The sequence below is a fragment of the Homo sapiens genome, chromosome 18 (genome assembly GCF_000001405.40).
Source record: "Homo sapiens chromosome 18, GRCh38.p14 Primary Assembly".
Classification (NCBI taxonomy): Eukaryota; Metazoa; Chordata; class Mammalia; order Primates; family Hominidae; genus Homo; species Homo sapiens.
Window position 1 is genome coordinate 75,020,549 of NC_000018.10, and position 26,091 is coordinate 75,046,639.

General features: G+C 39.6%; 1 protein-coding gene across 2 annotated transcripts in view, besides 1 other annotated feature; it reads left to right on the forward strand.

Moving 5' to 3' along the window:
- ZNF407 (zinc finger protein 407) overlaps window positions 1–26,091 on the forward strand; it is a 467,802-nt gene that overhangs the window by 422,679 nt on the left and 19,032 nt on the right. The window lies entirely within an intron of this gene.
- Window positions 2,336–2,532: a silencer, noted in NCBI's record as "fragment chr18:72734840-72735036 (GRCh37/hg19 assembly coordinates)". NCBI's record gives its function as "represses an EF-1alpha promoter that drives an FKBP-Casp9 reporter gene in an ReSE screen in HepG2 liver carcinoma cells {active_cell/tissue: HepG2}" and the evidence as "EXISTENCE:reporter gene assay evidence [ECO:0000049][PMID:32094911]".

A 26,091-nucleotide genomic window follows, 5' to 3' on the forward strand; every position in this document is an offset into this window, starting at 1 on the left:
TCTGTGAGAATTTAAACTATTAAATGAATAGCCCAGTAAAATGGCTGAATATAAGACTAATATACAAAACTGAAGAGTCTTTCTATATTAGAGCTATAATCAATTAGAAAAATACTAATGGGAAAATCCCATTCACAATTGTAACAAAGATAAATAATAACTTTGTCCATACCCATTTAAAAAAATTTATTCCTGTATTTGAAAAAATAAGTTTTGGAATATGGACAGTGAATTAAAGTGTTCAGCATTTTAGAATGAGAAGACAGACTCCTTCCTAATCTAATCTGTGGATGTCATCCTAGTGAAACCTGAACAGAGGAACTGAAGTTAGAAGATATGAAAACAAATGTACAATAATGAGACAGTGGGCCGTGGCTGGAGGAGAGCAATCTGTGTGTCATTACTGATTGCTCACTGTGCTCCAGACCAGACACTGAGCCCGGAGGCTTTCTGTATTTCACCTCATTTCATTTTCACACCAGCCATAGGAGGTAGATACCATCCTCCCCTTTTAAGAGGAGAAAACTGAGTCTTGCCTGAGTTCTATTAAATGACAGAACCAAGATTCAAAGCTAAATACATCTGATTTCAAAGCTCTAAAAAGGTACAAAAAAGCAACACATCACATAGATTGACCTCAGGCAGAGTCCATTATATGTAATCTATGAATATATATGTATTTATATTTGTGTGTTTTATATAATACATTATACATTCTTTTTAAAAAAAAAAATAATAAAGACAGGGTCCTGCTCTGTCACCCAGGCTGGAGTACAGTGGTGCAATCATGGCTCATTGCAGCCTCAAATTCCTTGGGCTCAAGTGATCCTCCCTCCTCAGCCTCCTGAGTAGCTGGTACCACAGGCACTCACCACAGCACCTGGCTAATTTTTTATTTTTTTTTAGAGACAGGGTCTCACTGCGTTAGCCAGGCTGGTCTCAAACTCCTGACATCAAGGTATCCTCCTGCTTCCACCTCCCAAAGTGCTGGAATTACAGGCATGAGCCGTCATGCCTGGCCCATTATACATTCTTAAAGAGGACTCACAAGTCAATGTAAAAGGGAAATATTATTTAATATTTAATAAATTTTGTGAGACTTACTAGGATAGCAGTTTGACAGAGTCTATTTAGAACCTTATTGGATATAGTTCACAAAGATAAAAGTTGATGCACTAAAGAGTTAAATTTTTTTAATTATAAAATTCTATACGGAAATAAAATTAAACCAAATTCTGATGAGAGAACTTTCTCATAATTTGAATAAAAGAACTAACAAAATAACTGATTAATAGATATAACTATATAAGCTACATTCTGTATGTCAGAAGTTCCCAGAATAAAAAGGCAACTAGAATACTGAGAAAGTATTTTGTCCTCAAACAACACATTAAAATTTTATATATTTTTATATAAAGAGCTCATTATCATTAAATCAATAGGAAAAACACTACAAACTCAATAAAAACAGGTAGAAAAGATGGCAGATCAATCATAAAATAGAAAATAGAAATTTTATAAACAAATGTCTGGAAAGGTATTTATTATAACTAGTAACTTAACAAATGCAAACTTTTTTAAAAGAAAAAAATGATATACCCTTTTGTCTATCAAAGTCACAATAAAAGATACATAAACACTTGGTGTAACGTGCATCTGCTGCAGGTAATGGTGCTCATTGGTTCCTAGTTTTTGGACATTAACTTGATGATGTGAATCAGGTGCCTTAAATTTTTTCTTTTAATGAGAGCAAGAGAAAGAAAGTGAGAGAACTATTTTCACAGTGCTATTTACTGAAAGTAGCCCAAATATCAAGGGGTTGGGGCCACACAGTCACTTTGACTGTCATTCACCTGTGAGTCTGCTGTATCACATAGTGGCTTAGAGCACTCCTCAGACAGAGCTGGGTTTAAATTCTGGATATTGTTTCACATTGTACATGGCCTAAGGCAATAGCCTAACCTCTCTGCACTTGAATTTACTCATAATATTAGAGTGTACCACCTAAGACTATACGAGTGAAATAATGCATGTAAAAATTACCACTTAGCATGTGGTAATTTTAGCTATCTCATACCAGTCAGAATGGCGATTATCAAATGTCAGTTAATGGCGATTATTAGACAGTCAAGAAACAACAGATGCTGGTGAGGCTGTAGAGAGGAACACTTACACTATTGGCAGGAATGTAAATTAGTTCAACCACTGTGGAAGACAGTGTGGTGATTCTTCAGAGACCTAGAACCAGAAATACCATTTGATCCAGCAAGCCCATTACTAAATGTATACCCCAAAGAATATAAATTGTTCTATTGTAAAGATACCTGCATATGTATGTTCATTGCAGCACTATTAACAATAGCAAAGACACGGAGTTGACCCAGATGCTCATCAGTGATAGACTGGATTTTAAAAATGTGATGCACGTACACCGTGGAATACTATGCAGCCATGAAACGAACGAGATCATGTCCTTTGCTGGGACTTGGATGGAGCTGGAAGCCATTATCCTCAGCAAACTCTCGCAGGAACAGAAAACCAAACACCACATGTTCTCACTTACAAGTGAGAACTGAACAATGAGAACACATGGACACAGGAAGGAGAACAAGACACGCTGGGGTCTGAAGTAGGGGGGCAGGGAGAGCATCAGGATAAATAGCTACTACATACTGGGCTTAATACACCATGTTACCTGTGTAACAACCTGCACATCTTTCACATGTACCCTGGAACTTAAAATAAAATAAAATTACCACTTAGCATATGTCATATATTAATAAAAAGCCTTGAATTAACTATTCATATGCTACCATTAATTGTAATTAACAGACATAATTATTATAAACTGGTATTAGTGATATATCCTAATTATAATTAATAGTATGTATATTACATGTAATATAACTAATAATGTATCATATAAGTTAATTAGTAATTAATGGTAGCAAATTTTAATAACTACCTGTCTAAGTAAATCAGAGACTGAATCAGCCAAATTCTTGGGGGCTAACTAATCAAAGCTACCCTCTGATTTAACTGCCGACAGCTGACCACTTCATCGTGACCACCCACTCCTTCATCCCACAGTGGCAGGAAGTCAGCTTTCTCTAATTATAGTCGGCTTTCTCTAATTATAGTTGTGAATCGTCAGCTACTCTAGCTATCTGAGCACCTACATGAATGCAAGTATTGGTGGTATAGAGTAATTTAGTCATTCCCCACATTCAATAGAACCTACTTTAAAGTGGGAAACTCTTCTTTAGATTACTATATTTAGCTTATTTCATGTACTACTGTTGTAGTTGCACTTTGAAATAGTTCAGTTATTTACCATTGTAATTTTACTAGTTTGTGGTGCGTTGGTTTTGATCAATCTGCAACAAATATTGAGCTCCCTCTTCAGAACGCACTGTGCTAAGTTATGGGGCAAGTTTCGATCTAGAGGCCTGGGTTTGAGGAAGAAAACAAGAAGGAAAAAGGAGAGCATGTGGGAGTCTCAAGCTTATCCTCAAAATGTATGTGAGTTCATGATTAAGTTTGAAACTAAGATTTTGTTTGTAGACTTTCAAGAGAAAAGCCAAAGAAGTTAGGCTATTTGGAGGATTTCAATTATGTTTTCAAGAACTCCTATTTGGGTTTCTGAAAAAGAGCCTAAAACTGGTGTGCTGGTTTCAGGGGTGTATTTGAAATTCTGTTCATTTGTTAAGAGGGAGAATTCTGTTAGGACTGATTAACTTACTCGCAGATACTGTTCCTTTATCATCTATGTCTGTTGATTAATTCATTATGTAATCCTATCCTTTAATCACACCACACAGAAAATTTACCTAAAGAATACAGGAAAAAAATGTACTGAATTTCTCTCTCTGTTAAGACAGGGAAATAATGTGGTGTGAAATTCCAAGATAGGCTTTGCAAGTGAGACAACACTTTTTGTGACCTATTAACCGTGTTCATTTTCAAATGTGCTATCCTATTCCTATTTTCCTTTCTATTAAACATTTCAACTAGTAATTCTGAAAATTTAGTTTAAAGGGTGATGAATTTAAAGCTCTGTGTAATGGTGTATATTTTTAAAGGAATTATCTTGAATAATTTCATCTCATAGGCATGCACTGTGGCAGATGTTTGCAAATCTTGGTTTAAAACTGATTGAAGTATTTTAAGAAAACTGAAATAATGTCAGCGGTAAAATTTATTTTACCAAGTGCAGATGTAAGACATCAAGTTCTCAGACTGATGGCAGAATTAACAAAAAACACCATCTGGTTCAATAATTATCTGAAAATACCCATATTCTTGGATTTCTTTAATACCACTTAGTTCCCAGCTTTATTTTATCTGAGTTTGCACACCAACCAGACTAGGTTGTACAAAACGAAGACTATTTCCATCTGATCATTTAAAAAAATGTGTGTTTGCATGAATAATGAATCTTTGAATTGTTACTAAACAAGCAAATTATTTGCGTATGTGTCACATCGGTTATCAAGTTTGCACATGTGACAGCTTCAACAGCCGTCGCGCAAAATGCATAGAGCTTGTAACCATATGTTTTTGCTTGACAAAAAGCTAAAACTCAAGATCAATTTTCAATATGGAATGCACAAATTAACACTTTAAAATGCACCACAATATGTACAGCTTGGCAAAATTTGCAGAAATAGCACGTTTCTAGATATTAACTGATATCTTTGGATTCGACCTTAAGGTATTCAATCATTTTGATTAAAAGACTGATTTCTCATAAAACCACAGTCTGTTGGAGGCGCAAAGCCAATGACATTTGAGCATTCATATATTTTCATAAACTTTGAACAATGTCAGTGAGACACCTCTTCAATCTTGGCCACACAACAGCAGGGTATTCAATCTTTCTTTAGCTTAAGACAGAAAATTTGAATATCAGCATAGGGTTATAAATGTGGCAGCTCACGTGGTGTGCTCCATGTTGATTTTGGAGGAGCAGGTCTGTGCAATGTGTACAACATTTCACTTCACACTCTTCACCACTAGTTTCCTTTCCCTTCCCACCTTTTCCCCACCACCTCTCCCCAAAAGGCATTATATGAAAGCATTTTGTTTGTGTGTTATAAAAGCAGTTTCTTTGAAGAGTTTGTTTGGTATGGGGGAACAAAGAGCTGCTTTTAAAATTGGCTTCTCCTAATGCTACTTGTGGCACTTACTCAGAATAGTATGATGATACAGATGCCTTGATGTTTCTTCAGCTTTTTCACCCTTTGAACGTAGTAATTAGTCATTATGCTGCCAAGTGTGCGTGTTCCCCTTTGGCCTCCTAAATGAGATCTTAGCAAAACCTGGATGTTCTTCAAATACTTCTTTTTTTAGTTGTATTCAGTGAAGAGTGATTATCCTATATGGTTGGTGAGATCTGTAAGGTTTTCAGTTTGTTATAAATAACACGGCGTTAATTGAATCAACATCCACTACGTAGAAGGTGTCTCTCACTTTAGAGTGTTGTCTTGCAGGCAGCTTGGGCAAAAACCAGATGGGCTGTGAGGGGAAGATGAGCACTTCTGTCTTGCCTGAACAGAAAATGCGACAATATTCTGTTAAGTCAAGAGACGACGACAAAGGAACTTTTTAATATATTGTAATATACGACAGATGCCCAAAAATGTTTACCTAAAATCTCTTTAATCTTGCTAATCTCCACATTGAGTGTGTCCTAATATTAGAATGAAAAGCATTACTAGTACTCATAGACAAAGATAATAAACTATTGAAAACTTAGCATCAACTGGCATAATCCCACAGAATTCCTTTATAACAAAATCTTCTGAGTCATGGATAATAATCCAGATTTTTGAATTTCTTATTATTTGCACACATCTTATCCCCTGAAGAATGTCAAGTGAAAATTTTGCATTGGTAGGGTAGAATCCATTAGTAATACCATATCAGAAGACATAGCTGTTAATTGCATCCATAATTTCAATAAAATTTGTTATATGAAACACAAGAATAAACAATTCTGTAAATTTGGAACTCTTTCAAACTAGTACAGCTTGATTCAGTAACCCATTGATCCAAGATATTTTCAGTGACCAGCAACTCTTACAAACCATTTGGAAACGCAGTTCAAGAGGTAGTAATGTTGATTCTGCTACTGTTGTTTCCAAATAACTGCCGTGTTTATTAATGGTATGTGATTGGCCACATGCACACCTCACTAAATACTTTGAGCATAGATTATACCGGATGATGAAAGGATTTCCTTGCCTAAGTCGATGACTGCTTCTTCAGAACCTCGTGCCCTCAGCCCTGATCAAGTTGAGCTACAGTGGTTCATCCATTAACTCAACAGACATTTGTGGAGCATCAGCTGGGTGTCAGTCCCTGTGTGAAGTACAGGACTACATCAGTAAACACTGTCATCCTGCCCTCACAGAGCTTGCATTCTACATATGAATAGGTGTAAAATAACTGCAAGTTACGACAAGGCCATGAGTCAAAGAAAGCAGTATGTGGCCTGCGATGGAGAGTCACAGACACTCGTGCAGGAACTGGGGATTGTATTGTACCTTCATTCTGGAAGTGCTGTCTGAGGAAGACAGGGAACAAGCTGTTCACGGAGATGAGAGCTTGAAAGCATTTCAGACAAAAGACTGAGCACGGAGACCTTTGCAGAGTGAGCTGTGCGGCACATTCAAGGCAACAAGTGAGCCAACCAGTGTGGCCAAAAGGAGGCAAGGAAGAGGGTGGTGCATAGGCAATGGGAAGAGCTGTGGGTTTTCATCCCTGGGATTCCAAGAACAAATTTTAATTTTAAGAATTTACCCTTTTCTCCTTTATGGAGGATGGTTTGGGAGGACGGAAGGTAGAATTAGGAGACTAGTTAGGAGATATTGGCTGCGATCAGGAAGACAGAGATACAGGTGGTCTAGGCTAAGAGTGTAGCCATGGAGTTAGTGCAAATAGTAGGATGTAGGATACATTTTGGAGACAGAGGTGGTGGAACTTGTTAGTGGGTTGGATATGGAAGGTAGGGAGGGAGCATTGGTCAATGAGGAAGGACTACTAAGTTTCCATCTTGAGCTATGTGCAAGTGTTGTTGCCATCTGATCTCTAATTCTCTGATTTGGGGCAAACAGCAGATTTAGGAGGAGGTCATCTTAGGAGGGAGTGTGAGGAGAGACAAGAGAGGGTTCAGAGTTCAAGGTCAGACAGAGGCTGGTGGCAGCACAGGAGTACGAGAAGGAGTGGCCAGTGAGACAGAAGGAAATGAGAGGGAGCAGTATAAAAGAAGTGAAGGAAACAGTGGGCTTCCAGAAGAAAGAGATGGTCAGCTGTAGCTACTGCCCACGAGACATGGTCAGAATGAGCCTGTACTTTCCACACCTCCTTCCTGTAGAACCTGTGAGAGAACACGCTGCTGCACTGTGCCGTGGCAATGGTAATGTGAGCACAAGGCAGTGGTAGCAGAGACGTGATGAGCAGTTCTGTCTGTTCTGTCCTCTGCTGGGCCACTGCAGTCCTGGAAGATTCCAATTTTGAGTATTTACTCATTCAAAACTGTGTTTTCTTTATAAAACATGAACGCTCATTGAACTACATATTTCTAGGCCTCACTCTGGGAATTCTTAGGGCAGGGCCCTGTGTCAGTTTGCGAGGGCTGCCGTAACAAAGCACCATGGGCTGGGCGGCTTAAACAACAGACATTTATTTTCTCATCGTTTCGGAGGCTACCAGTTTGAGACCAAGGTGTTGGGCAGGACTGGCTTCTTCTGAGTCCTCTCTCCTTGGGTGGTGGATGACCGTCTTCCCTGTGTCTTCACGTGGCCTTCCCTCTTGTGTCCTATGTGTTGATCTCCACCTGTAAGGACCCTGGTCACATTCGATTAGGGCCCACTCAGAATGACCTCCATTTTACCTTAGTGACCTCTTTAAAGGCCCTGTCTTCAAAGACAGTTAAATTCTGAGGTACTGGGTGTTAGGACTTCAACACAGGAATTTGAGGGGACACATTTCAGCTCCTAACAGACTTAAAATATACGTTAAACAAATACCTCTAAGTGACTCTGATGCCACTGGGCCTCAGACCAACTTTTAGAAACACTGAACGTCAATGTGCGGGAATTCCGCTAGGTACTGAGATAGAAGGGCAGGGTGTGGGCCTGCCCTTGAGAGGCAAGTACTCCTACAGGAACAATGCGAGAACCCAAGAGATTACAAGCCTCTGTGCCTTCGAGGGTGTATGCTCCCGTGTCATATAGACATACGTTGTTAAAGCTGTCCCATCCTATCTTTTACATTTGTGTCTGTCTCCTGAAGTAGGCAGAAGGAGGGCTCTGCATCTGCGAACATGGATGATTTATACGTGATGCACCCATCTCTTACATTAGACTTCACTTTTAGATCAGACACTTTATTTTGTTAGAATAGCTGAAAATCTGTATCGGGATATTCTGCCCACAGAATATCCTTCTGCTGTATGTTCAGGTGCCTTTGTTGTAGTCACGAATAAAATTAGCACAGCTAACATCTCAGATATCAGAATAAAGACTGGCCCTTTTCTCAAAATGCACATAATATAGGGTTTCTTTTAGTTTGACCTGAAAATTCATTGCCAAAATTTTATGCTTTCCATGTTCTGCTTGTTTGTTCATACACAGACGTACAAATGCATGCAGGTGAATAAGGTAAAGTTCAGAAGATGCTTCCATAGAACTGTTGCCCTTCAAAAGATAGGAATTCTGAAACAATGTGTTATGTTATTACAGCTCAGTGCTATTTCTTGTGAGTGTTTTATATAGCCTGGTTAACCTCTTTCTACGTTAACCCAGAAGCAGTGGCATGTGCAGTTTTGTTCCAGAGAGCAGGAGTTACCAAGACTCCTCTCATACTCCTGGATCTCTTCTCTCTCCACTAAGGAAGTGCTAGTAGCTGGTAGCTGTTTGTCAGGGCAGGATGGGTGTTCGTTCTCACTGCACAGTTTCCATGCCACCCTGGGCATGGGATGCGGGAGCACGCTCACCACCTTCATTCAGGGCGGAGTGTGTGTGCGTGCGTGTGTGTGCGTATGTGTGCATGGGTGTGTGTGCCTGGGTGTGCGTGGGTGTGCGTGCGTGTGCATGCGCAGGGCATGCGCAGGGGCAGGAAGTGCTTCGTTTCTTCAGCTCGTGCAGGTGCTAGTTGTAGCATGTGACTTATCACTGGTTTCTGTGGTTTGCTGCATTTTTTGTGCAAACCATTGTCAACATGCGTGAGTACAGTGAACGGATGTCTTAGAATGTCATACAGCTGCAACTGTGGTGACAAGAAATAGCTTCAAACTCAAAGTCCATAAGAAAACAGAAAAATCAAGGATGAATTCTTGCAACAGAGGCTGCTTCGCTTCAGAAACGTTATGAAGAACGTGTGTGATGACCAATCATGAGCATTACATTAAAAATATGGGGAAGAGGTTTCCTGTAAATGTGTGCAAATGGCAACAAGAAAATATTGAAGAGCTTTTTCTAAGTATATATAGTCCAATTAAGAGTTATATAAAACAAGTTTTCCTGGGAGGAAAGTTCATTTCAAAGGTCACATGATCTTTGGGGCTGGGTGGTCATAGAGTATTAAAAGAAAAAACATGATCATACCAAGTTTATTCATCTGCCTGAATTGTGAATCTTCACATTGGAAATTTAAAAATTTTGTCCATGAACTTCACTGGATTTAATAGCTCCCAGCAACAATCAGAGCTATACATTAGATTTCACTTCTATCAGTTGAAAGGTATTATACATTATTATTATACATTATTATCTAAAGGATTGAGATTATATCTCCATAAATCACACTGTGGATTAAATTATGGCTTTCACAGATTCTGTCTGAAATATAATTGAGAATTATCTGCAGAATTTGGTTTGCTTTTAAAATGTGAATTGTTGGAGAAATGAATTGTTAGCCAGGGAATTATTATACATGCCACATTTCTCAAATTTCTGCAGGCTGATAAAGTATTGAAAAAGAAATGCTTTAGAAGTATATTCAGTGCAGCAAACTTACCTTTGACTGTGTGCTGTTGGCCAGGTGACATACTAGAGGCCACATAAGTGCAAGGAAGAGCAGTCTTTGCCCTCGGGCTCGGCTGGAAGTAGTGGCCACAGAAGGCATTTAGGAGTGGCAGGACCCATGCTGGGCGTGCTTCTGAGACCCACTCTCATTTTAACAGAGTAGGGAAGGCCTTCCGAGAAGACAGTGGGGTAGGAAGAGCCCTGACTAACGGGCCCCAGCCCCCACCCTGCTGCTGTCTAAGGGAGATTTTACCACCCTCTCCATTCTCTACCCCCGTGTCGTGTTCCCAAACGTGACAACTCACCCACTGGAGTGACTGCATGCCAGAAAAGCAGGGCTTTCTACACCGAGTCCCACTAAAGCACAATGACTTCCCAGTCATTAATAAATCCTGTTTATTCAAGGTCAGTTTATAACCCTCTTGGGCCATGGGTGTTTGCAGACCTGAAAGGTGGCATGCCCCCACACACATAGCAGCAGGTGTCATTCCCCCATACACATAGCAGCAGTTCACTCACCTGCAAGACCTCACACTCATGTAATAACAACACAGATTGCAGACCTCATAATCACCTGTAAAGGGCCAGGGGAGCTGATTAATAAGGGGAGTTCAGCTTCCTGTGCTATTCAGTAATATAATGGTCATCATATTTAAAACAGCTTCAGGTAACAGGAAAACAGTCATTAAAGTGATAATGCAATGAGGTAATAGAATCACTGGATTTCAATAATATCCATTTTCTATTCTTTTGTTTAACTGATTTTTTGCATGAACTAATCCTATACTGGTTCTGAATAGTTTTCCTTACCTTTTACCCGTGAAAGAGAAAATGGGTCTTTTTTTTATGTAAAGGACATTGATAGTCTTTAGAGTGTGAGGAAAATTGATCAAAATATTAATTAGACTTTTGTTTTGCTAGTTTGCGTTAGACAGATGGAGTTCTGATCTTTAACAGCACTGTGACTCATGAAACTGCTTGTGTACTAAATGCCATTATTAACACAACAGTAGTTTTCAGCAGTTGGTAATTATTGGCATAATTAAACATTTATCAAGAAACGAGTATTTATCATTCATTAAACTTTCATTAAAAATCCATCTTAGCACAGGCTAGATTAGCCAGTGATTTTCAAGTCGTAACTTCTTAACTTCTGGCAGGAATATGGAGCATTTTCATAATAACCAAAGTTGTACACAAGGTAATGTTCCAGGAATTGTGGGCAATTACAGGATTTCAGATTCATTTTGTATTAAGTGTTTTTTGAGACTTGGACCCAGAGTGAGAAAGGTACTTGGCAATACTCTTTAGGGTTTACAGCACTTGGCAATTTTTAGCAGCTGATCCAGGAAAACATGTTACCCTTGGCAAAGAAAAGTTACTGCTAAGCAAGCTCTAAGATATTTACATAATTTAAATTCCCCAAAACATGGAGTGTTTACATAGTTTAGGGCATGAAACTTTCTATCGTAAGTAGAAGCCAGAATAGAAGTAGAGACCAGCGGAATCACACTCTAAACGCCTGGACCCGAGAGCTCCCCCCACACTGAGGGGTTGGTTTTCTTCTGGTTCCCCTGCCACACTAAGGCTGTCCGTCAAACAAGCTTTTCCGTGTCACACGGAATGTGTCACCTGATGCACAATGAGACTGCGATCTGGGGGCTGTTCCGATGTGTTGACTTGCTTAGATAACACAGTTGCTTCCCAGAATTAAGGGATAAATAGTGTCGAACTTGACACTCAGGGAATTTCACCTGCTGGCTGCCCTCAGCTCCTTCATCCCAAGTTCCCTGCTTTTCCATGTTGACTGTGCACTGCCCTCAGCTGTCCACTTTGACTCTCCACAGACCATTTGATGTTGTTATGCTTTTGTTGTGTTCAAAAGTTGAAATCTCTTGACATATTAACCTTATAGCCCACCAACCTTCTCTCTTCTCTCGACTCTAAGGTAGGTGTACAGTGCCCCAGCCTCTGGTTTGGACTGGCTGCACGATCAGAGTTTTCCCCCTGCCCACTAACTGGAAAGCTTCATACGCATTTAGCATACTGGGTGTCCTCGCCAGGAGGAGACATGGGGGAAGATAGTATTAGGTAACTAAGACTGCTCAGAATGGGGGGAAGATAGTATTAGATAACTAAGAGTGCTCGGAATGGGGGGAAGATAGCATTAGATAACTAAGAGTGCTCAGAATAGGGGGAAGACAGTATTAGATAACTAAGACTGCTCAGAATTGGGGGAAGACAGTATTAGATAACTAAGAGTGCTCGGAATGGGGGGAAGATAGTATTAGATAACTGAGAGTGCTCAGAATGGGGGGAAGATAGTATTAGATAACTAAGAGTGCTCGGAATGGGGGAAGATAGTATTAGTTAACTAAGAGTGCTCGGAATGGGGGGAAGATAGTATTAGATAACTGAGAGTGCTCGGAATGGGGGGAAGATAGTATTAGATAACTAAGACTGCTCGGAATGGGGGGAAGATAGTATTAGATAACTAAGAGTGCTCGGAATGGGGGGAAGATAGCATTAGATAACTAAGAGTGCTCAGAATAGGGGGAAGACAGTATTAGATAACTAAGACTGCTCAGAATGGGGGGAAGACAGTATTAGATAACTTAGAGTGCTCGGAATGGGGGGAAGATAGTATTAGATAACTGAGAGTGCTCGGAATGGGGGGAAGATAGTATTAGGTAACTAAGCGTGCTCAGAATGGGGGGAAGATAGTATTAGATAACTAAGAATGCTCGGAAAGCCTCTCCACATATATGCTAGTGCTTCAAATCTTGTTCTATATTCAGCAACTTCGTTTTTGTTTTCTCCTGGGCGAAAAATTTACTGTATCGGTGCTTTTATGTCACAAGAATGAATTGAATTTGTACCCTTTAGTACAAACAACAATAGACAGAGTGGTAACCTAGTGGAAAACAAATAGACACTCCGTCCCTTGTGGGGATTCAGAGAGGTTCAGAAAGATGGAGGTGACGGTGGAGAGGTGGCAGATAAAAAGAGGCCAAAGCAGGGAAGAATCCTGCGGTCATTTATTACCATGCCATCTTCATAGTGTTTGCTGAACCAAGGTGCAGAGTAATGATTCAGACAAATGACGTTAATCATCATAGCTGGCCCTTTGGCAAAAATGGAATACCTAGCATTGCAGCGGGAGACCTAATCAGATTCTCCAAAACTTGCTTCAGAAGGAGAGAATTTCCTGTCTTCAGTTTTTCTGTCAATGGCTTCCCGTGGGATATATCATCTTTAAAAGAAACAGTGATAAGAAATTGTGCCCTCTTCCCTTCTCCTTTCCCTGACCCTCTGAAAAATAATCGCATTAAACTTTATGATTAATATTTATAGTGAAAATGTATTATTTTTATATTTTCTTCATATTTATCTAATGTGATAAGATGGCAAGAGCTATAATGACTAGTCAAGTCGTATTTTCCATAATCCTGATAATCAGAGTTTATCTTTACTTTCTTGGAAACTATTTTAAATGGCCTTGTGCATCATGAAACCAAGCTGTGTTATACACACATATCAGCGTTCTGTAATTCTACTCTACACACTGTGAAAGCATATGTAGATCTGATCAGAGGTTGACTGATGGTTAAGCATATTCTCAGTACATTTGGTAAGTATCTATTCAAAGAGTATATTTAATGTCTTTCTTGGTCTTTGATCTATACCAAAATAACTTCATTTCTCTTTTCTCTGTGTTGGGTTTTTTTTTTTTTTTTTTTTTGAGACGTAGTTTCGCTCTGTCGCCCAGGCTGGAGTGCAGTGGCGCGACCTCGACTCACTGCAAGCTCCGCCTCCCGGGTTCATGCCATTCTCCTGCCTCAGCCTCCCGTGTAGCTGGGACTACAGGTGCGCGCCACCATGCCCGGCTAATTTTTGTATTTTTAGTGGAGACGGGGTTTCACCATGTTAGCCAGGATGGTCTCGATCTCCTGACCTCGTGATCCGCCCGTCTCGGCCTCCCAAAGTGCTGGGATTACAGGCGTGAGCCACTGCGCCCGGCGGGTTTTTTTTTTTTAAATCAGGCTTCATTGGTAGGATGTAGTGATTATTGTTTGTGGGTACAAGGTCATTAACAAAACCAAAAAATGGTTTAGTTCTAAATATTTTCAGATTTATTAATTAGGTACATTTTGTCATCATTTTATCCCACATACTTTGGTGCTTAGATACTTGGCACATAATGCTATTGTGTAGAAGAGAAAACAATTTAGAGTTTCAGTCATACATCATCTCTGGGGGAAACTAAGTTGACATGTGGGAGGTTAATGTATACACTTTAGATTCCTCGCTTGGTTTGCTGTTTTCTTCTTCATAACTCTAGGTAAACAGTTTGTGCTGCCATTTAATGCACAAGTTAAGTGTAGTTGCAGGCTATTATACATCATTAAAGTAAGTACATAATATTCACTCATGAAAGAAAGATGGAAGCTTTTCACTTGTAGCTGCTTGGACATTTCATTTGTCATCTAATACGGCACTGAAAAAATTAGTTGTGGCAGCTCTCATGTAATTTATAGCTGAATGCCATGAAATTAAGCAGTGAGCACACCGTTTTGGCTGATGAGTGTGCATGTGTTTTGCATCTTCCCATTCCAATGACAGATTTGGCAGAAACACAGTGCTGGCCATTCAAAAGTTTGTCTCTGTTACCCTGCTTTCATTACCCTTTCACCAAACACAGGATTCGTCTTTGAACACAGAGCTTCTTTTAACAATTATGAGAAAGTGAGATACCTGTTAGAGTCCAGAAATGACATCAGGGGCCTTCTCCCATCATTCCATCATTTTATTACGATACTTCTACCTGTCATATCAGGAAACAAAGCAAATAACGGTTTAGTGATGATGATTGACGTTCAGTATGGCAAATGGAATAGGTAGATACCAATAGAATGGACCTCAGGGTCTCGTTCTCTATATCTGGTCAATAACCAATATATTACTAATCACATCCAATAAACAGAATACCAGAAATGTGTATTTTTATCTGCCAGCCAGCAGTCATGGAATAATGTTTTTAAAGGTGAGAAACTGCCATGCACAGGAAGGAGCAGTGGCTGATACGTCCTGCAGCTAGAAGAGCTCCTGTGCATTACAGCTAGACAGCTCATCCCAGTGAAATCTCATGTGTATCTGATTACCAATGGGCATTGCGTCCGCCTCGCCTCTGGAATACATTGCAAATGCCAGTTCTTGACTTCTGAGGATTCCATTAGCTGAGATATCTTGTGATAGGGAGAGGTATCACAGTAGAATAGGATCTATAGGTATTAGTGTCAAGAAGAATAATGTCTTGCTTGCCCTTTCTCCTAGGTTATTGCATAGGTTATACAAAGATTGGGATGAGTTAATAGAAAACAAAGAAACCAGAGGTGGCAGGAATGGGTGAGAGGTGGGCGAAGCCACAACATTGCAGAAATACATGACTTCTGCTGGTGCCAAAAATAACGTGTCTTTTTTTTCTCCCAAAGCAGTTGAATGCATAAAAGCACCTGATGTAATCATTGTAGTCATCCTTCACTGTGTAAAGCTGAGGCTTAACAGAGGATATTTATGCAAAAGTGATACTGAGAGTTCTGAAAACCCATTCTAAGTTTTAGCAAGAGCTTTTCAACCTTTGCAGATGTATTGCAGTAGTGATGAGCAAAATAGTATAATTCTTTGATTTCATTTTCACTGTGATTTACAAAAATAAAACGATGTTCACAGGGAAAAAAAAAAAGTATGATTTAGGGATGGAGGGAAGTGTGACCTGACAGTCCCTGACTGAGCATGGTGCCCTCATTGGATGTCTCACAGGAGAGAATTCATACCATTTGTTGTGAAACAACATACCTGAAAGAATCAGACCTACCTTGTTCACACCCAAGATGAGGAAAATGATTTATTATCTGTCCCTTGAATTTCTCTGAGCATTCTGTCTAAACTTTAAAGGACGATTACATTTGCGATTAAATCTTAACAAATGTTGTTTTAACTAGACTGCAATATGTGTTATTGACAACAAGCGACTTTTCTTCTCAAAATAACATTGATACTTAGGCATGCAATGTACAAAAATGACAAGAAAGGGTGGTACTTTTTCCAAGGTGAATGTGAGTTGACTGATTAGCTGGTATTTTAACTTAGATTCTTGCAAATTACAGACATAAGAAACCCTGCAATTTATATGTACTTTAGAAGTGAAAGCTTTAATCCCGTGATTCATGAAAGCAAAGTGGTAATAATTTAAGTACCATATTTTATTTATCCCTCAGAGTTGTCAACTGATACCAGAAGTATTTCCACTCTTTTGGGGTTGCTGCCTTTGGCCATCTAATTGCTTCTTAGGAAGGAAGAGGGAAATTGCTTCTAGAACTACGCGGATTGTCTTTGGCAGCGTCGAGCTGAGGCATCAATCAGTCCATCTGGGTAAAATCACAAGCTGACTCCGATATTGCTAAATATTTATACTGTCAAATACACACAGACATCCAGATGAAAAGAGGCATTCATTAGGAATTCTCCAGCTTGTCAGTTTAAAGATGTAGATTAGAGCAAAGCCTCCCACTATGGTACTGAGTGCTCAAGAAAAGTCTATATTTAGCCATTCTGAGCAATAAATATCATCATATTGCCTCATTTAGGTAAATAGAGAATAAATATTGTCAAGATGATCTAGAGATAATGTAAACAGATCCCTGTTCAGAGTCTGTGTTGCAGGGGAAATTCCAGGACAGTGATGTGCCGATGATGCTTTTTGGTTTAACCCTTTTTCTTAATCACACACCCCTCCCCTTTTTGGTAGCAAAGATTGTGTTGCTGACAGACTAGGGGGAAAGATGAAGAAAAAAACTTTGTAACCGCAAAGGTGATTTCCAGTTCTATGAATTAGAACACTAATTAGTGCTGTGCTGCGGTCTTGTCTCGATGGCGCCAAAAGCTGCTGCCGCCGCCGAAAATAAAGATATCTGCAGCAACACTGAAGTTCATTTCAGAGTTCCACAGAGCTAATGAAGCCCGTCCGTCTCAAGGGAACATTACAGCTCAAAGGTTAAGACATTATTTTACAGTACACCAAGGTAATGCTCGCGCTGGAATTTCTTTCGTAGCACATTGTTCTGAGATAAGATTTTTCACACTGAGCATTTGCCATGAAAGACTGCGATCTGTGCCTTGACACAGTTCCATTTCTGTACAGAAACTCGGCAGGCCCCTTGCATGACAGTTTGGCTCAAGTGTGTTCTGTATGAGCAGAGAATGTGTCCCTTCTCAGGGGGGCACGTGCTCATTGCTCTTCCCTGGTAATTGATAATCTTAGAAGTTATACTCATTGGGAATTTTAACTGATGTCAAAGTTTTAGTTAATTACACTAGATGATTTTTTTGAGATTAATAATTAACATCTCTCTTTATAACTAAATATCCATAATTAATCAGCAAATCATAACGTGAAGACTAATTAACTTCAAACTCAAATCTTAACAGAAAATCCATATTACTCTCCAACATCATTAATTACCAGAGTAATCAAAGTTATCCCTCATGGGATAAAACATAAAGCTTTGTGGGTTTATCAGCTAAGCTGTTAGCACAGAAGAATTTCCAGAGTAACTTCAAATGGCATTACCGATTACAAAATTGTTAGATTATTTAAACCCATGTTCATTGGCCACATGTTACATTGTCAATAAGCTGCTCCCAGGAGCTGGATGGGTAACCAACAAAGCAGAAACTTCCCCATAGTGTCTGAGGTTTTTTTTTCCACGGGAGGTGAATACAGCGATTTCTGGCAAGCAGGTAATTGGATTGACTGTCTTTAAAACTACCTTGTACTCCTTTGTTTCTTAGCCTCACAGAATGCTAGTTAGCTAGTTTAAAATGGGTTAGCAGGAAGCCAAAGTGTACACCTGACATTGTTCATAAGGGGGAATATTTTATCAATAATAAAAAGTGTGAAATGTCATATCTAGCAATTATTAAGTGTTAGGGACAACGAAAAGGTGATACTGTGTAAAGGAAGGGAAGCACCATGCAAGAACAAAAAATTAACATGGACATCAAAAGACATGAAATGGGGCCAGTTTCTAAGAAACAGAATGACACCACCATTAACAATGGAGAAGTGCCTTTTCAGGGGTTCGCTTAGAAACTTAGGAGTTAAACGTGTATTTAAAATCCATGTTTCAATTACTGTATCACCTAATCTTCCAAGCATACACATGGAATACTGTTCCTTTGTGTGGCAGCTGTAAAAATCCTAAGCAGTTTTTACTGTCAAGAAAACTCTGAATAAACAGGGGCTGTTAACTTAGGCAGATATCTGAGGTTATTTGGTGGCAATCAAGAACTCGCAGCACTTCAACTAATGGGTTATGATCAGAAACTGTTCCTAATAGCCAGCTAGACGGATCTGAATATGAAGATTTCTATAATTTTGTTGTCAGCTTGTGATGTACTCTAGTGCTAATTATTTGGAACAATTATGTTTTCCTAATAACAAAAGAAGAAGCAGTGAATTAAGCAGGCTTACCTTCACATCTTTAGATAACAGTTTAAATGCACTTGCCATTAAGAAATAACATTTCTTTTTGCCTTACGGAGCCCTAATTATTTAAGATGCTTGTCTTTTAAAATCTACCGCTTCCACTTCTTCTAAACCTGTTCGATGTGTCAGTTTACACTGATGATTTCAGTAACTAGTATTTTCTCAGTCTTAGGTTTATGCCTGTACCTCCATAGACTGCTTACTTCATTTAGTTATTCAAAAACCATAATTAGTGCAGTAATTAACGTGTGGATCCTTCAAAGGAAGACTGCTAGAATCATGGGACGTGTCTCATCATTCTTACTGATGTGTGGATGATAAAGAGACTGAGGCTGCTGTGACAACAGGACTTGTATTACTGCACAGTAACGGTGCTGCAGGGAAATTCAGACAGGACCTTGGTCCACAGAGCCCCAACGTTTGAAAAAAGTAATTATCCACACTGTTTCCATAATTCAGCTAGGTGTTATCCTGCATTTGCAGCTGTCAAATCATTTGTTTTAAATGTTTTTTTAAATATCTTATGAATACTTGAAAGTTTTGAGTTTTGCAGATTATCTCTCAGCCTATTTCTAAGCACAGGGGCCAAGCTTTTTTTTTTTTTTTTTTTTAATCCATTACAGAGTCTTTCCTGACAATTTATTTCAGGCATTTGATAGTAATTTGAGTTAATGCAGGTTATAGTTTCAAAATCATAGTCATAAAGAAAAAGCTCAATTTTATACATTTCCCTAGAGAATTTTTTTTTTTGGTTCAATCTCAGTTTTCTCATAAGCGGAATTTCTTGTTTTCAAGCTATGGAAATGAGTTGTATGCAGTTGAATTTGGCTGGGTATGACAGAGAGAGGTGCCGATAATGGTTCTGCAGTGCTCACAGCTACCTTGTTGGTCTCTCTCTCTGGTTCTTTCATTTAGAACGTTTGGCCTTTAACTTCCTATAAACAGAGGCCCATTTTTCACACCATGTCATTCATTGACATCTGCCCCCAAAATTCTGTGCTGCATTTTATCCCTCAGATAGCTCATGTGAACTGGGATGAAGTAGCTTTGATCACGTGGAGTGATGTGCATTTCCTGCCTAAAGGAATTTTTGTCACAGTCATGAGAATGCTGCCAATTTGGGCTTCTTCGGAGCCTAAAGTCCAGGCTGAAGTGTGAGTAGGCTGTTGATATTAGATACTGGATATTGATAGGGAACAGTCATATAACGAGAACTTTATTTCAATTGAGTGGCTACGGGTTGATTCCCCATGTTTAATATACTAAAAAAAGATACTGGGTATTGATCTGTGTTCAAAATGGGGTGGAAGATTCTGTCTTCCTCTAAATTTTATCAAGTGGAATATACCTTTATATTCTTAATATCTTGTCAGTGTGTTCCGCATTTACAGTACATCTTTATGTATTATACTTGTTGAGGTTGAATTGGCTACACGTGGTTTCAGCCGCAACATAATCAAACCATTAGGCATTCTGAGCTCATTAATAACTTGTAGCTGAGTGTGTGTATGTGATACTCTGCAGATAGACCCTCTTTGCCAGTTGGAACACAAAGTTGCCCACTGCGTAACTCTTTTCCTAAAAGATAAACTATCTAAATTAGCCTATATGGATGCTGCTACAGTTAATTAACTAAAAATTCAGTAAGTTTTTTTTTACACTCTTTCTAATACTTCTAATCCAGACTTCTAAACAACATTCTAATTTGTGAAAAACAGCTTTGAAACATGCTGTGACAAAGCACATGGAGAACGGTAGAGCTCCACGTGTGATGCCGGCCAGCACTGTTACTAATGCTGTGTCCTGCTCGTGAAGTAGGAATTGTTTTTTCAGAAGCTGCAATTACTTTGGTGGCAAGCAGTTCTGAAGGGAAGGAAGAACAAGGGTTCTTCCCCGTGTTAAGCATTGCTACAGGCCAAGCATGCACTACGGGGCACTTGGTGCAGTCTGTTCCTAATACTCGCAGTATCCCGCAAGGTGTCAGTGCCCTGTGCAATGGACGTAGAAACTGAAGCTTAGAGAGGTGGACAAGCTGCCCAGGCATATGTAGCTAGTTAGTGGCTAAACGTAGATTTTAAGCTAGATCTGCCTGAGTCTTAATGTCTACATAAAATCACATTCTTAAAGAAAGGGTAGCATTATTGATAGTTAAAAGCCTTACCACGTTCCTAAGTGATTGCCAGTTATTATTATGAAAAAGAAGACACTAACGACCATAGGAAAAGCTGTAGGGTTTCCCCCCTTTCTTCAACCATAAAAGAGCTAGCACTGTTGTCCACACACATGCACTTTCCGTCTCTTCTTACCTCTCACACACACACTCTCTCTCTCACACACACACACTCACACACACAGAATCCATCTAAACAAGCAATACCTTGAAATCCACTCCTACGATGTCTTTTTAGCCATGAGATCACTCAGGCCTAGTGGAAAAGTATTGTAGGTCTCTCACATTCGGCTGATACTGTAGCGCATGTGTGTGCATGCACGTGCACACACACACACACACACACACACACACACACAAACTGAGCCAAAAACAAATGTGCAGCTCTAGTGTAACTGAAGGATAAGTAGAAACTAAGGAACAGTGTTGATTGACCACAATTACAGCCACCTAGTGGACGATCAGCATCCCCATTTTTATATAAAGCCACATTCATTCAAGAGGTAGCTTGTCCTTAAACACTGTGTAGCCTGCATTCACAAATGTCAATACAAACACCAGCGACCGCCTCCGATGTCACAAATGTCAATACAGACATCAGCGAGTGTCTCCCACAGATGTAACACTAAGCCCAGCCTGGTAGAAGCCCATCTTCAGCTTTAGATAATTTGCATTTCATTCTTTTTAGGTATCTGATTGATACATATTTGGCCTTTCTGAATATCCCTTGCCCTTTGAATTAGCCTTGCTCATTTCTTTCCTTTTTTTTTTTTTTTCTTATTAACTAGAGTCAGAGTCTCACTATGTTGCCCCAGCTAATCTGGAACTCCTGGGCTCCAGTGGTCCTCCCACCTTGGCCTCCCAAAGTGCTGGGATCATGGGTATGAACCACCACACCTGGCCAGCCTTCTCATTTCTGTAACAACAGTAAAAGTAAAATGTAGAAGTAAAAGACAGTTCAGCCTTATGATTTTTGTACTTATTATACTTCAGAAGATTATATAAACCATAAGGTTTATATTAGATATAATTTTCATTATATCTAGAAAATAAATATGACACTGGACAGATCAGGTTTGTTTTCAGATGTGAAAAATAAGTCACTGAATTGGTCTGAATACCTAAAGATGAAGAAAAGAGTCATAATATTGTATAATTAGAGTCCTAAGAGTCTGTAGAGAGAAAATGATGTAACTGCCCACTGAATTTAGGAGTGCTCCACAGCATTTTTGACAGGAAATGATTGGCACACTCTTCTGTGCTTATATGGAGTGCATTTACTTTTTCTAAATGGAGATTTAATTTACATGCAGTAAATTTCATCTTTTTTAGGTATACAGTTGGATGTGTTTTGTCAAATGTTTGCAATCATGCAAGCACAACCAAGTTAGAGAACGTTTCCATTACCCCAAAAAGTTGCCTAGTGCCACTCTTCAGTAAATCTCTTCTCCTAGCACTCAGGCCTTGGCTGTCCCTATAGTTTTGTCTTTTCCAGCATGTCACGTCAGTGGCAGGTACCCATCTATTTCACTTGGCACAATGCTTTTCAACTTCATTCCCATTGCTGCACATCCACTGCTCATGTTCCCTCCTGTCACCAAGTCCTGTTCCGTCGCATGCGTGTACCAGTATGTTTGCCTGTCTCCTGGTGATGGACATTAGGTTGCTTCCAGTTGTGGGTGATTAGGAATCACCCTACTGTCAATGTTTGGCAACAGGTCTTTGTATGGGCATGTGTTTTCATTTTCTTAGGAATGGGGTCATGGGATGATGTGGTGAGAAATTGCCAACAAACTGTTTTCCACCATGGCTGTGCCATTTCGCATCCCCACCAGCAGTTCATGAGAGCTCCAGGTGCTCCGCGTCCTCACCAGCACTTGGCATGATCGGTCTTTTTAAAATTTTAGCCATTCTAATGGGTGTGTTGTGTATCTCATCATGGTTTTAATTTGCATTTTCCTAGTGACTGATGATACCAAGCATCTTTTCATGTATCCATGTGTAAATTGTTCTCAGTTTTAGAAAAATTCTTCCTCATAATGAGCTAAAGCAGTCCTCCTATGCTCTGGACCTGCACAGGTCATGTGCATGCCCAGCTCTACATAACAGCCTGCCAGATATTTGGAGGCTGTTTTCCTGTCCTTATTTCCACCCCTCAAATCTATCTTTGCCAAGCCAGCCTGCTTAGTTCATTCCTTTCACCTGCCTGCCTCCCTCCATCCCTCCCATCACTGTCCGCTTGCTATGGCTTCTGCACCAACCCTCTGGTTTCTGTATCACATCATTGTGGATGTGCTCCCATTTCTGCATCTCTATTAAACATGTTTCCTGGCACTGAATGCAGTGTTCTGCTTTGCAAGTGCCGTGTTGTCTTAAAGCAGCAAAGTTTGGGTTTGCTTCTGTAGCAGCCATATCAGCTTTCCGTCATGGGCAAATTTAACAAGTTGACCCTGTGGCTTTATCCACAGTACTGATAAAAAGGCTTCACTTGCCAAGTAAAGAGTCCTGCATTACAGGGTTGACAACACCATGGTCCAACTGAGGACATATAATTGGCAGGTATCCGGATATAAAAATATTTACAGGGGAACCAGCTAGTTTGATAATCAATGATAGAGTTTTCTAAATTGCTAAACTGCTCCGTTTACTTTGAACACTGAGAGCTGCTGAGCAATTATGAATTATTCTAATTACCTTTAATTTTTGGTATCTACTATATGTTTCTGTAAAAAAGTACTGAGATATGCAAATATGGTCAGCGTAAGATTTTAAACCCTGGGGCCACGATATCAAACACCACTGAAAACCTCTGGAAGTGAGAGCAGTTGACCTCTTCCGACATCTTTAGAATCTTATGTAAGGTTTTCATAATTTACAGAACTGATATTAGATCCAGTGATAATCTCCCCCTCTCCCTTTTAGGAATATATAGCAGCACTTGGGGGAAAGTCTCGCCTGTTGAAAAAAAACACTATATTCATGTGTTTATCTATATGGAGCTTCATGAAAGCGTTTTGTTGGGTTTTTTTTCTTTCTTTTTTTTTAAAAAAAAAAACAGGTTTTTGTTTGTTTGTTTTCCTTTAATGGAATAAGGTCTTTAGAACTAGACTCCTTGGCGGTTCTAGCTTAGACTACAAGAAGCCACTAGAAGCCTCTGTATTGTTTCTGGATTCTGTTACCTTGGGCACCGTTCGTACTGATGTAGTGTTTGCTTTTGTTCTTTCGTTATGTCTTATTCCTCCAGTATTAGGAACAGCCCTAGGTAACGTTTCTGATCATGAAGTGAATCTGACCTTGAAATAACCCTGAACTATTCCCGTCACTATGGCCCGTGTCAAAAACTTGCGGATTGTTGTGATCATGAGGTTTCCATTGATATGTTTGATAAGTGGTTTAAAATAAATATATTTTATTGTAAGTATATTAATATGCAAGATATGACTAAAGCAATATGATGTTTGACTGGTTTATTAAAAAACTATTCACATTATTTTTATGTGTGTTGCTGTTTAAAATTTCTTTTCTGCTAAAGACCACCATGTACTTAATATTCTGACCAACACTGAAGACTTATTTGTACATCATAGTTCTTCCAGGTACTTCACCATACTCCACACTCAGTTTAAACACGTTGGTGCAAATTCCATTACAGCAAAGAATTTCTTCTAGGATGTTATTGTAAAGAAAAAGAGTGCATTGTCAGCAATATGTTTCTGAATAAGGAATGAAGTTTTTTTCAGCTTGATTGGGAAAAATCTGGGTGTGGGGGGGTGTGGGCATGTATGTGGGGGGTGTGGGTGGGGTGTGTGTGCTTGGGTGTGGGGGTGCGTGGGGCGGTGTGGGTGTGCACGCATGTACATAACATGTGCCTGTGTATGTGCATGCACACGTGTATGAAAAAATGTGCAGATGTGATCGTCTCAGCAGAAAGTTTTATAATATAACTGGAGATGAAAGAAAATATAATCTAACTGGTGGTAAGTTATTCATTTTAATTAAAATTCATGCTGATAACTGAACCATTCAATTTGCACTGTTTACATAAGATTATAAGCACTCAACTTGTCTGAGTGTTTAAATTCCTTTTTCAGGCTTAAGTTGGGGCATTCAGCAAAACAATTGTCAAGTCCCTGGCCTCCTGCACGTAGGCCCACTGCCTGCAAACAGTGGAAATGTTGCCCTGGAAATGTGGCTAAAGTTTCGTGAAATGAAACATGAAGCATGCCAGGCCCATCTGTGCCAGCCTTATGAAACAAAAGCACCCAATTTTATCATCATTGTCTTTTGTTCTCCACAGTGCTATTCATGTGGCTGTTTTATGAATGCCAGAGTCTGGGGGCATCCATTGATCCACCGCTTTCTTTGCTGCACCGTTTGTTCTCTGTTATAATACTTGTCACCCCGCACCCTCTTCTTTTTAAAAAATGGAAACTTCGATGTTGAGAGTCTTGAGTAACGCTGTAAGGTTTCGTGCTATGAGGCTATGAGGCTGGTGGGCTTTGTTTTTGGATTGCAGATCAAGTATGCATTGGGGGGAGGTAGATGACTATACTCTTAAGCAGAAGGATCAAATATGTTGCTGTGTAAGTCCCAGAATCTATAAACCACCTGTTCTATTATATTTGTGTCAGTTTTCATTATCTTCGTGAATAGGTATTTCCCATCTTAATGCAACAGTATTTGCATATGATGAACCAACCAGCTCCAACATGGCTTCTTTTGAGGATTCTGAATTTCCATTCAAATGATCCGAAGTCATTCTTATTTGAGATCACACTGGGCCAAATATGGTAACTGTAAATTCATTTGAACTATAATGCTACAATTAGCCCATTAATTTTTAGTCTGCATAACACAGTCAGCTGCTATATATTGTGGAGGTGGAGGTATGTTCCATTTTCATATCATAACAGAAAATTTAAAAATACAGCAACATGGGACCAATCACTGTATCATGTTTCCTATAGACTAAGCGGTGATCAGAGCCGGGCTGCCCAGCCCGTCTCTAAAGAGTATCAGCATGGCTGGGCATCAGCATTCTACAAGTTAGAGGGAGCTTGCAGACATCGAACCAATGGATTTAATCCACATCCTCAGAGGCTTAGGCTTTCTGAGAAAGATGAATAGGAAACCAAGTCACTGTGCATCCCTCCACTCATTTTAGCCAACGCTGCTTCACTTTTACTGCCTTATATTGTGAAGTTCTTGGGGAGATTTTTAATAGTCCTCATACTGAAAAATTAAAATCCACTCATAAGCCAGCAGTTAGAAAGTCGAGTCAGTACCCAGCTGAATCGTGACCACCCGAACCGAGGGGTCCTGCCCCCATGGAGCCAGGTCCA